At 45.7% G+C, this 13,205-nt stretch overlaps 1 protein-coding gene across 5 annotated transcripts in view; it reads right to left on the bottom strand.

Annotated features, from left to right (window-relative positions):
- The window catches only part of PDILT (protein disulfide isomerase like, testis expressed), a 45,563-nt gene continuing 33,891 nt past the window's right edge, over nt 1,534–13,205 (bottom strand). For 2 of the 5 annotated variants that reach the window (NM_174924.2, XM_011545766.4), the window contains 5 exons: nt 11,851–12,048; nt 7,779–7,899; nt 4,763–4,941; nt 2,927–3,016; nt 1,534–1,926 (listed from right to left, as the gene is read on the bottom strand). In NM_174924.2, coding sequence (NP_777584.1) covers nt 1,678–1,926; nt 2,927–3,016; nt 4,763–4,941; nt 7,779–7,899; nt 11,851–12,048 — 837 coding nt within the window. In that variant the 3' untranslated portion in view covers nt 1,534–1,677. Of the gene's footprint in view, nt 1,927–2,926; nt 3,017–4,762; nt 4,942–7,778; nt 7,900–11,850; nt 12,049–13,205 lie in introns of those variants that run through there. The other 3 variants (XR_950754.2, XM_011545765.2, XM_011545764.2) reach the window with 3 other exon arrangements.

Consider the following 13,205-nt stretch of genomic DNA (forward strand, 5'->3'; position numbering starts at 1 on the left):
AGATTTTATTCTAAAAGCAATAAAGATGCCATTACAGCAGCAGTCCCCAATCTTTTTGGCATCAGGGACCGGTTTCCTGGAAGACAATTTTTCCAGGGATGGGGGTGGGAAGGTGGAGGGGGTCGGAGGGTGTCGTGGGGGGTCAGGAGGGAAATGGTATGAAACTAGGAAATAAGAAATGGGATGAACCTCTTCAATGGCACAGATCTAATGCCAGATCATCAGGCATTAGATTCTCATAAGGAGCCGGCAACCTAGATCCCTCATATCCCAGTTCACAGTAGGGTTTGGGCTCCTATGAGAATCTAATACCCAGGTGGAGCTCTGGCGGTAATGCTCACTCACCCGCCACTCACCTCCTGCTGTGCCGCCGGGTTCCTGACAGGACACCTACCCATACGGGTCAGCGATCCGTTCTGCATTACAGAATTAGACAAGGTGATGTTGCAAGTGCTTAAGGCTATGGGTTTTTAAAAGATAGCCTCAGTGATTGCATGGAATATGGAGGGGTTTGGGATGGGGGCTGGGAGGGAGGCACAGAGGGGCAGCAAAAAGACCAGTTAGGAGACTTCAGCTGAGAAATGGCGGGTGACAGTCAGTGGAGATGAAGGGAAGTGGGTAGAATTACATGGATGGATAAGCTACTTTTATGATAGTAAAAGAAGGCAGTTGAACCCAGCATTTTCGGAGGTCAAGGCAGGTGCATTGCCTGAGCTCAGGAGTTCAAGACCAGCCTGTGCAACATGGTGAAACCCCATCTCTCCAAAAATACACAGAAATTAGCTGGGCATGGTGGTGCGTGCCTGCAGTCCCAGCTACTTGTGGGGCTGAGACGGAGGGATCATTTGAGCCTAGGGGGTTGAGGCTGCAGTGAGCCGTGTTCATGCCACTGCACTGAGTGGATTGATTCCAATAAAAGCATATATCATTGTGGTAGGGTAGGTGGGTGGCTGGATAGGGTAGCCTGGGTGACAGAGTGAGTCCCTGTCTCCAAAAAAAAAAAAAGAAAAAAAAAAGGAAGAAAGAAAAAGTCAGTTGTTGATGATTCTGGAGTGATTGCTTGAGTGAATGGGCCACTTACTGAGATGTGGAAGTCTGAGGACAGGTTTGGGATTTGATCGTTTTCTTACTGTGCCCAAATGCAGTGTAAGCCAATCAATCCACCTTATTTGAAAGACAGCCAAACTCTGGGGACACCTAACCTCGTAGGAGATGGTAGCATAGTGGTTAAATGCACAGTCTTTGGAGTGTGATTGCCTGGGATTGGTTGCATCTCAACAGCTTTCTACCTGTGTGATCCTGACTGGTTGCTTAACCTCTCTGTGACTCAGTTTTTCCCATCTATAGAATGGGGATAAGGAACCCCAGCTCAGTGATGGTGTGAGAACTAGATGAATGCCGAGCATGTTGCACACACTCATTGAATGTTGCTACTGTGGCTTCCCTTGCAGTCGTGTCTGAATTCTAGGTCAAACAGTTCTTCTAAGACTGCACCAACCAGGAAAAAGAGGTCATGAGTAAAACAGAGCCAAGGACACTCAGAGGCTTTATTATCCACCCCTACCCCCGCCCCACCTACCCTACCACAATGATATATGCTTTTATTGGAATCAATCCATTCAGAAAATGATGCCAGGATCTGGAAAATAAGCATCTTTTTTCCTGGTATTGGAGAAGCTAAAGTTCTTCCTTGACTTTTGGTTTCTTCTTTTGCACTGGAGGTCCCTTTGGCTTAGCCACCACCACCACCACCTCCTCAGATGTTTTCTTCTTCCCAGCGGGCTCTTCCAGCTTGGATACGTACTTGGTCATGTTCTCCAGCTCAGGCGACTGCTGTTCAGGTAACCCTTTCCTCATCATAGGCACCTCCTTTTCCTCAGCTAGCACTTCCTCTTCTATCACTTCATTTTGCTCAACAGACAACAGCTATGAAAGCAAAGGTGGAAGGAAGAAGGGAGGGAGGGAAGAAAGGGAGAAAGAAATAAAGAGGCAAGAAATATGTCATCATTGTGGTTGTAATAGTCAAGCCTACTTTTTCTGAAAGTGCCCAGAGAGAATCAGTCTTTGGACTGCAGGGTTTTCACAGATGCTGAAGATCCGTTTGGTTTCAGAGGTAAAGTGCCCAACTGTGGTTTCACCCTTCAGGTAAGAGGACCTTTGGGGGAACCAAAGGTTCTAAGTCTGTAGATGTGGCTCCTGCACCACTAGCTCCAGGACTGGACAGGTGACCAGTCTTAGCTAATGAGATCTCTGTCCAGGACATTTTCTGGGACATCTAAGAAGTAGATGCTTGCTTTCTAAACTGGGAGGATGATAGTTTGGAGCTGTGGTGTAATCTTTGAACTTCTGTGGGGAAATGACTACTTGAGAATGAAACCAACATAGAGGAAAACAGAGATGGGAAGACAGAAAGCAAGTCTGGGTTCCGGATCCACCCACACCTGATGTTCTACCAGTTATATGGGATAAATTCCCATTGTTGCTTAAAGCAAAGAGTAGTGTCTGAAATTTCCAGTGGAAGTCTTAATTAATACAGAGGGCACTGTCCAGCAGAGGGCCTCACTGAGGCATGGCTAGGGGAGAAAGGGGACTGTGGTCCTATGCATCAGGAGAGTAATGCCAGAGGGCAGAATCCCACCAAGACATCTGGTCAGTGCCAGGGAAGCGGCCCAAGGCAAGGAGCTGTGTGTTACCTCAGAGCCTTGGTCTTTCTAGATGTTTCTAAAGTTTGCCATTTCTGCTTCCCATAGTAAGTGCCTTTGAAATAAAGGTGACTAGTAGAGTCACCCAACCTGGATGCTTCTCCATCCATCCTCAACCATCTCCCAAGATTATGGAACTCCAGCCATACTCTTTTGTTGTCCATTAAGTTCCTAGGGATTCTGTGTGGGACAGAATAATTCAGAGTATTTCTGTTGCCCCTTACCTCATCCTCATCCTCAATCTTAGTTTTGATGTGGCTTTCCAGGAAGTCAGAGAAGCCCTTCAGGGTGTGTTCTCCCTTATACAGGACAGCCTAGGATGAAAATGGAACAGGGTCAGGATGGGATCCTCTTCCCGCAGAGATGCTCGAGGATTGCTACCTAGGTAAACCCAGGGTCAAATTCCTAACAACCCCGGGTATGTTATGCAGGTTCCCTAACCTCTCTTAGCCTCCAGTGCCATGGTTCCAAGGGAAGGATAATAAAAATGCTTCTGACATAGGGTTGTTATGCAGTGGATCAAAGCACGGACTGTAAAACCACACAGCAAAGCCTTAAACTTTGGCTGCATTACTGCAGTGTGGTCTGCTTATTTAATTTCTCTGACTCACTTTTCCTATCTCTAATATGGAGACAAAATAGTACCTACCTCGTAGGGTTGTTATAAGGATTAAATGAGGTAATGTATGTGAAGTATTGAAAACAGCGCCTGGTTCATGATAAGCACGATAGGCGTTTGTTATTATTATTATTACTATCATAGCAACAATAATAAGAGGAAGAATAGTTCTTTTCGGAAGCATCTGGTACATGGTCAGTGCTCCATTATCACAAGTTCCCTTTCCTCTTTTTTTTTTTTTTTATATGGAATCTTGCTCTGTCACCATCCTGGAGTGCAGTGGCGTGATCTCAGCTCACTGCAACCTCTGCCTCCCAGGTTCAAGCGATTCCCCTGCCTCAGTCTCCTGAGTAGCTGGGACTACAGGCATGCACCACCACGACTGGCTAATTTTATATTTTCAGTAGAGACGGGGTTTCACCATGTTGGCCAGGATGGTCTGGATCTCTTGACCTCGTGATCCAACTGCCTCAGGCTCCCAACGTAATGAGATTACACGCGTTGAGACACCACGCCCGACTCCCTTTCCTCTTTAGGAAAGTTCAGAAGCTGCTTAATGCCCACAGGTCACCTAAGCTTCTTTTCAGATAATTTGAGATTACTACCTTAGCCTCATCCTCTCAGCCCAGCCTCAGTAACACAACTCCCCGACATGCATCCTCTGCAGTGCAGACTGAGCAAAGAGTGGGTCACAGTGGAATCTTGCCACAGTGCTGGGGTCACCCTTCTGCCCACCTCTTTGTTCAGACCACACTTCCTACCTGTAGTACACAGTCCCTCCTCTAACCTGATTTAAGTCCCCACCATTCTGCAGAGTCCTGGGTCTGCATGGAGACTTGCAGCCATATCTGCCCTCCAGAAGCTCTTCCTCCCCCTTGATTTCAATTGCATTCATCCATACTCTTCTAAGGAGCAGGAACCTGGGCTCACATTTCTTTGACTGATGCTCTTTCCCATGCATGGACATGGCATGGAGTGTGGGTTGTATCAACACTGGTTATGGCCAATGACTGTAATCCCAAGGTGGAAATGACATTGTTTGTCTCTAGCATGTATTTTTGCCTTCACCTGGTAATACCCCACATCCAATATTCTCATGGAGATTCCTCCCACCTTATTTCAGATAGTTAGGGCAGAGCTCAGCCCCAATGCTAGCAGGAACCATATAAAACCAGGCCTGCCCATCAAAACACCCACATCCACTTGGCCACAGTGGTTGGGTCAGGGATATGCAAGCTACACCCAATGATAGTGAGTCTCAGGACTTTGGTGCAAACTACTGGAAAATAATCTTTGAACTTGAATGTGAGAGGATGGATAGTGGCTACAGCTGAGAATAAAACTGGTTTGGTAGAAAGCGCAGCTGGTGGTAGGGAGAAACTGAGTCCCTGATAATAACATAACATTGTTTTCAGCCATGTGCGTCCCAAGAGCCCCTCACTTGTTGAGAGCCGCTGGGGAACAGCCTGAAGAATGGGTACCGGTCCAGGTACATCAGCTGAATGTCATTTGCTGTGACATCGATCTTGGCAATGATAATTGTGGAGTGGTTTTGATATTTTCTGCCCAATTCCTCCAACAGTGGGAACAGCATCTTGCACTTTTTAGACCAGGGTGCATCTGGAAGAGAAGGTCCATGGCTCAGGCTCACATTGATGAAGATCCAGAAAGCTGGCGCCACCCTACACATGGCATCGCTGTGTTCCACTTGTGGTCCTGCTGTTTTGCCAATTGCACTCCCTCCTTCTTTTAATCATATATTAGATTATTTTTACATTTCAGCAATAGTTCCCAATTGTTATTCGATAAATTAGAAAAAAAATAGTTTTGGCTGGGTGCAGTGGCTCACACCTGTAATCCCAGCACTTTGGGAGGCTGAGGCGGGTGGATCACAAGGTCAGGAGTTCGAGATCAGCCTGACCAACATGGTGAAATCCCATCTCTACTAAAAATGCAAAAATTAGCCGAGCATGATGGCGTGCACCTGTAATCCCAGCTACTCGGTAGGCTGAGGTAGGAGAATTGCTTGAACCCGGGAGGTGGAGGTTGCAATGAGCCGAGATTGCGCCACTGCACTCGAGTCTGGGTGACAGAGAGAGACTCCATCTCAAAAAAAAAAAAAAAAAAAAGGAAGAAAGAAAGAAAAAGAAAAAGAAAACAAAAAGAAAAAAATAGCTTAGCCCTCTTCCACCTAAATACTAACACTTTTAGTGTGTTCATGTTTTCTTCTATTTTTTTGTTTTGCTTTTTAGAGGCAAGGTCTTGCTATGTTGCCCAGGTTAGGCTCAAACTCAAACTCCTGGGCTCAAGAGATCCTTCCATCTCAGCTTCCTGATTTGCTGGGACTACAGGCTTGTGCCACTGTGCCCAGCTTGCTTTTTTTCTTTTTTTCAAATTCCTTTCTTTTAACATAGTGTTCCACTCTAGTAGAAGAAGAAAGCCAAGAACAATATTTACGCTAGATGACTTTAATGTTCTTCCAAAAAGTGTGTGTGTGTTTTTGTGTATGTGTATGTGTGTGTGTGTGTGTGTGTGTGTGCATATGTGTTACAGCACACGGGGGTTTTCACAATAGAGGTTTGGGAACTTGCCCAAAGCTATGCAGTAATTGCACTTTTCAGACCAGAGTAATTAAGCAGAAGAAGTGGGGTTTAAAGACAGGCTGCTTTGACCTGTGACCACTATACCACAGGTAGGCATTAATATAACATAACATATAGATATTATGTTATGTTATGTCATGTCATTTATAGGTAATTACATGTCATGTTATTATACATATATAATTCAGAGGAGGAGAACATCCCCAAGAAGTGTGACAGGTATAATTACTCTTGGACAGGGGACACTGAACTTTCTTGTGGACAGTTCTTTGGTCTTTGAGTGTGGTCCAGGCTCCTGGGCCTCTGGAAACCAGAGACCAGCTCCAACCCAAGGGAAAGCAAATCTTTCCTGCTTTCCTTCTACTAGAGCTCAAAGCTCAGTTTCTGGCTCTGTAAGCGAAATGGCCTCAAAAGCCCCCAGACACACCACTTTTGGATGATCATACCCCATTTACAAGCCAAGTGTCTCCATGGCCATCCCCCCTGCCTGCAGCATCTCTGGCAGCCCCCCTAGCACTCAGCGGGTCCTGGGTCAGAACAGGAGGGGGCATAATGGCTGCAGCCCCAGGGGGCCAATCCCGTGGCCCTACTTCCAAGAAAATGAAGCTGCTGTTGCCTTTTATCAAAATGAAATGGACAGTCTTACAATTCTGGGTGTGACTTAAGTACAGAACAGCTGCATCTAGCCTCTCATTGAAAGGCAGCGGATCTTGGTGATTCAGCCACAGACCTTAAGCACCTCACTCTGTGAATAACAGTCCCTTTCAGAGTGATTGTAAAAGGCCTGCATGATGCAGTGTAGCCCTTGTCTTACCCTCCAGAAAGTAATAGCACTAGAGCTTGTGTTAAACTTCTTGTCTTGCTACTTACTGTGTGACCTAGGGTAAGATCATTAACCTCTCTGAGATGGGGTTCCCTGATCTGTGACATGGGGAAAACCACCATACCTTCCTCACAAACTTGTTACACAGCTCATTAGAGCAGGTGTGTCAACAGCAAACTCATGCTTGACTCATTGTAAGGGCTCATTAAATGTTAAAATAAAAGAAATGTCTGAAGGAACTTCAGTATCACCTTTCTCTGTGTCTCAGGGTGGGAGAGAACATCTCTGGCTTTGTCTCCCACGTGCAAATCAGAAACAATGGGAAAAGGGCAATAGTCCTTAGATAAGCCCTGGAAGTAATTATAATGATAGGAATAACAACAGCAGTAGCAATTGTCACTTATCAAGTGCTTACAATATGCCAGACGCTGTGCTAAGTACTGTACATGGAGGATTGGGGTCCCCACCTCCTATGGGCCATTTGATAAGTCATCTAAAGCCAGAAGCAAAGAAATCCTGTACAGCAGTTAGGAGTGTAGGTGCTGAAGTCAGATGCCTAAGTTCAAATCCCAGTTCCGGCACTTACTGACTGCAAGATAATGGAAAAATGTCTTCTCCTCCCTGAGACCCTATTTAGTCATCTGCAAAGTCTGAGCAATAAAAGTAGCTACTTTCAAAAGGATGTCGTTAGGATTAAATGAGATAATGTATGCAATGGCTTAGAATAAAGCCCAATATACTACAGCATCCAAGCAAACATTGTCAGCCATGAGCATTATTGTTTTTACAAACAGCCATAGGCCTGGGTTATGTGGAAGGCATTGCATACATTCCAATAATTACATTTCTGGGGGAAAGAGTTGCATTGTTCCTGATAGCATCTTGAGTCAATCCCTTTGGGTATCTGAAGACCATCCTTGGCATGGTGCATTGATGGGTTTTAGAGATTTCAGTGCCCAACAATTCAGGAGAAACACTTGAAACATAATTTTGGCACCCGTTGCCTCAGAACCCCTCTTGGAGATACTTACAGAACATCACAAATACGTCCTTTTCTTTGTCAAAGACGACTACGTTGAAGTTCTTCCCCACGAGCTGCTTAACCAGTCCCTGGTCCCAGTATTTTGGAATCTCTTCACTGGATTGATGTTTCTAGGAAGCACATTTGAGAGGCCTAAGAGTCTTCATAAAGGGTCTTGAAGTTGTGGGGCTCCCCACCTTGATTGGAAACCACTAAAGGTTTTCTCGTGTTTTTTTCACAAGAGCCTTAGGAAAGGGTTTGAAATACTGAGATGGATCATGAGCTTGATGTCAACCCTGGATGGTTCAGGGCGATTTGGGGTCAGGGGACTGAGGAGCAGACAAAGCTTCAAACTGGGATGGATTCTCAGATTTTATAAAAAGAAGATTTAAGCCGGGCGCGGTGGCTCACGCCTATAATCACAGCACTTTGGGAGGCCGAGGCGGGTGGATCATGAAGTCAGGAGTTTGAGACCAGCCTGGCCAACATGGTGAAACCTCATCTCTACTAAAAAAAGAAAAAATACAAATATTAGCTGGGTATGGTGGCATGCACCTGTAATCCCAGCTACTCAGGAGGCTGAGGCAAGAGAATTGCTTGAACCCAGGAGGCAGAGGTTGCAGTGAGCAGAGATTGCGCTACTGCACACCAGGCTGGTTGACAGAGCAAGATTTCGTCTCCAAAAAAAAAAAAAAAAAAAAAATTAGTTGTCCTCAATTACTCTAAGAATCAAGATCAAGACCATTTGCATGACCTATAAAACCTTGATCACACTTTGATTGGTTCCTGCAATAAAGGAAGTCTTCTCTTTTCTTTCCTCAGCCATGTTGGTCTTCAGCTTAACCAAATGGCCAACCTTCCTCCCAGCTCAGGCCTTTGTTAATGCTGTTCCCTCTGGCTGACAGGCCTCCCCACTCCTGATTCCTACTCTCCCTTCTTCATCTGGGTAACTCAAAATGTATGTCTCAGAATGACCCAAGGGAGGACTTCCTTGACCCTCCCCGCATCTAGATGAGGACTTGCTGCCATAAATTCTCATAATGCTCAGCACTTTTTCTTGTATCACTTATTCACGTTTACTATTTATATTTATTTTTCTAATTATTTGATTAATGTGTCTCTACCATAATAGATGGAATGTCATAAGAGATTTTTCTTTCCTCGCCATTGAGCATCCATTGCCTGTTACATAGTAGATCCTCAATAAATGTTTTGCAACTGAATGAACAAAAAATGAGCTCAGCTTTTGCTTCTTTTTGAAGTAAGTGTTGGAAACCTCAAAACATATTTTTTATCTACAACCATTGCCTCCTGAATGTCTCCTGAATCCACATCATTTTCTCCATCTGTGTGGTTACTGACCAAATCCAGGTAGCCTCCATCTCTCATCTTGATTGCCAGAAGAGCCTCCAGATGTTCTCCCCCCGTCCCCTCCCAATCCTCCCACACCTTTATTCTCTATAAGCAGGGCTCTATTTCTACCATGCAAATCTGGCTTCTCTCATTGCTCTTAGGAAACCAAATTCTTTCCTTCCTTCCTTCCTTCCTTCCTTCCTTCCTTCCTTCCTTCCTTCCTTCCTTTCTTTCTTTCTTTATTTATTTCTCTCTCTCTTTCTTCTTTCTTTCTTTCTTTCTTTCTTTCTTTCTTTCTTTCTTTCTTTCTTTCTTTCTTTCTTTCTTTCTTTCTTTCTTTCTTCCTTTCTTTCCTTTTGAGACAGAGTCTCGCTCTGTCACCCAGGCTGGAATGCAGTGGTGGGATCTGGGCTCACTGCAACCTCCACCTCCCGAGTTGAAGCGATTCTCCTGCCTCAGCCTCCTGAGTAGCTGGGACTACAGGTGCGTGCCACCACACCCGGCTAATGTTTTGTATTTTTAGTAGAGACGGGGTTTTACCATGTTGACCCTTGCTGTGCAGCCTCTGTCTGGCTCACAGCCTCTTCTTCCACAGTGTCCTCCCTCACCACACCCGCTCTAGCCTCTGGAAAGCACTTAAAGATTCTTTCAGTGGGAGCACACATGGGGTGGCCATGGGGCATGGGAGATAGAAAATGGTGACAATTGTGGGGAATTGGGAATGGCTCAGATCAGGTGGATCTCATAGATCTTGTAGAGGATGCCCATCTCTCCTCTAACAGCATAAGAAGACATGTTGGCCTTTGCGAGGGAGACGGACACCACCTCAGATCTAACTGCAAGGAAGAGAGAGAGGATAGGTAGGATTTTAGATGTGGTAATGGAAAGTGAGGAGGCCTCCAATGTGAGGACATCTATTTTCTTAGTGATCTAGGGGTACAGTACTCAGCTGAGAGTGAGTGGGAATGGGATATGAGGAGAGAGAGACTCTGAGATTTAAAAATGAACACACTAACTGAAATTTCCATATGGATGCCAGGACACTTTTCAGAGTCCATGGGAGCCTGGTTTGCAATGCCATGAAGCCAGTCACCCTCGTGGTGATGTTGGTCTGGAAGCAGGGAAGTTAAGGGGGTTCAACCAGAGTTGGAACTTGCCTGGTGAGTACTATGGGGTATACAGGAGGTGGAAGATGGAGGGGATAAAGGAGGTAAGGGAATCATCATCAGAGCAATGAATGATGGAATGCAAGTTCACAGAGGGGGCACTAAAGAGAAATGGGATCAGGAGGGTGAGGGCAATGAGAAGGATGAGGAATCGTAGCCATGTGTGTCCTGGAGGGAAAAATCAGGCATTGGGAGGTACTGCAATCTCCGGGTTGTGGGCATGGGAGCAGGGAGCTGACATGGCATGGACACGTCAGCTATTGGAGAAGAGAGACCAGGGTCGTAGACACTGACATCTCTGGAAATGACAGCAGAGTTGGGGCTAGGGAAAGGCTGCCATCAGGAGCCTAAGTCCTCAGAGAGTGAAGGCAGATAGTCAGAGGACAGCAACAAGGAGGTGGGAGCACAGGGTCAAAAAGCATGGGATCCAAGGCATCTGGGGTTTCTGAAGATGAAAGAAGGAAAATGGGTTGGAATTGGAAAGAAGGACAGCAGCCTCACCGCTCAGCCCATGAAAATGCTGTGCACACGAGACAGCTTCCACAGAAAAGGCTATAGGGGCAGCTGTGTCTCTGGGAGAATGGACAAAAGGCTGTAGAAGACTCAGGTAAGGGGACCATCATTTGGGTTTGTCTGGAGTCTCGATTTACTTCTATTGTTCCAGACTTTTTTTGGGGGGGTGGTGCTGGACAGGGTCTTCCTCTGTGGCCCAGGCTGGAGTGCAGTGGTGTGATCGTAGCTCACTGTAGCCTTGATCTCTAGGCTCAAGCAATGCTCCTGCCTCAGCCTCCTAAGTAGCTGAGACTACAGATGCACACCACCACACCTGGCTAATTTTTAAATTTTTTGTCAAGATGTGATCTTGGTATGGCCTCGAACTCCTGGGCTCAAGTGATCCTCTCACCTCAACTTTGCAAAGTGCTGGGATTACAGGCATGAACCACCGCACCTGGCCCATTCCAGAATCCTTTACTCCCATAATGTCCCAATTTGGAAAATTAATAATATGGTTACCTTACTCAGCAGAGTAGCTGTGGAGACATAGACAGTGGGTGACTACGTGTTCCATGTGTTTCTGCAGCCTCTCCTTCCTGTCAGCGAAATAGACTATGCCCTTTCTAACCCCATCCAACCAAAAGGTCCCTAAAGCTTTTAAGGCTACATCTTGATTGCCCTGTGGCTCCATCTCCCTTCTCCTCCTCAAAGCAAGCATCTACTCTTGGACCAAGTAGATCTTTCACATTGGAGGTGATAGGAGAAGAAGAGCCTCCTTTCAGAGTGCAAGTTAACACTACTGAGTGCCTGCATTTCTATTGTGAATTCCTGCAAAGGAAATGCCTCCACTTTACAACTAAGAATAAGTGGAGGAATTAAAGGCTTGGGATAGGTCAGAAGTTGGATAGATTTGAGGTGGGGAGATGGGGGATTTCCCCACATTGAGCCACAAAGTTGATCTTTATTCTGCCTCCACATACAGGTGAGGAGAATTATCAAGGCCAACAGAATTATGAGAAGGAGATGATTTTGAGGTTCTGGATAAACCTTGTCCAAGAAAAAACCTACTGTGGCATTTTTACTCAGGAAGCTGCGGCCAAATTTCTTGAGGCTTTCGTAGGTTATGTCATCTGAAGGCATTTTGTACCTGGCGTCAGAGCTCAAGTTTAGGATTTGGACGGATGGGATATCGACCTCTGTGACCCGGAAGTACTTGAAGACACGTCCATTTCTGGGTTCGTCTGCATCCACAAGGATGAAAAGGATCTGCCAAAGAAAACAAAACCCTTGTCTCTCTGGATCCTTTGCCAGTGGAGAAAAACTGCTGAAAGGCTGTGGACTAAGGGGATGCACATGGTGGGGTCTGTGGAGCACCTCTGCAAAATGTAACAAAGGCAGGTGGAGCTCTGCACCGAAATGCATGGCAGGCAGTAGCCACCAGCCTGGCTTCAGCCTCCTTGTGGTGTGCTCCATCCACACAGTTTCAGGAGGTCAGGAAGTCCTGAGCTTTCATTCTGTTTCAAACTGTTTCATCAGTTTCCTGATCTGTAAAATGATTATCATAGTGACTATCATAGGGTTGCTGTGAGAATTAAACAGGACAATGTATGGAAAGGCTTAGTTCAGGGACTGGCAGGTAGAAAGTGTTCAATACATGACAATTCTTATTATTTTTTATTTGAATAATTATTATTCAAAATTATTCTATCAAGGAAATTCATGACTTCATTCACTCATTCATTAAACAAACATTCATGGAGTGTCTACTATGTGTGAGCCATTTTACTCAGCACTGAGGACACAACCCTGCCCAAAGCAGACAAAATCCCTGCCCTCAAGGAGTTTATGTTCTAGTGGAGAAGACAGGCAACAAATGAGTGAATGAACTTACAAAGCCAAACAGCAATGAGTGCCAGTTAGACAATAAAACAGGGCAATGTGATAGAGAGTAACTGCCCCGATGGGGTAAGGTAGGGGCTCAGGATTAGGTAGGGTGGTCAAGAGGAGAACCTGAGGAGGTCACATTTCAGCTGGGACATAGTTGATAGTAACAAGTCATGGAACACTATTCCGGGTGGTGGAAACTGCCAGTGCAAAGGCCTGAAGACAAAACAAACACCTAGAGAGCTTAGAGTGTTCTGGGAATAGAAAAGAAAAGTCAGTGTGGCTTTGTCAGAGGTGTTTAAACCAGAGCAACTTCATCTTGAATACAGGCTGGGTAAAATGAGGCTGAGACCTACGGGGCTCCTTTCCCAGACGATTTAGGTATTCTTAGTCACAGAATGAGATAGGAGGTCGGCACAAGATACAGGTCATAAAGACCTTGCTGATAAAACAGGTTGTAGTAAAGAAGCCAGCCCAAACCCACCAAAACCGAGATGGTGACGAGAGTGACCTCTGGGCATCCTCACTGCTACACTCCC

The sequence above is a fragment of the Homo sapiens genome, chromosome 16 (assembly GCF_000001405.40).
Source record: "Homo sapiens chromosome 16, GRCh38.p14 Primary Assembly".
Classification (NCBI taxonomy): domain Eukaryota; kingdom Metazoa; phylum Chordata; class Mammalia; order Primates; family Hominidae; genus Homo; species Homo sapiens.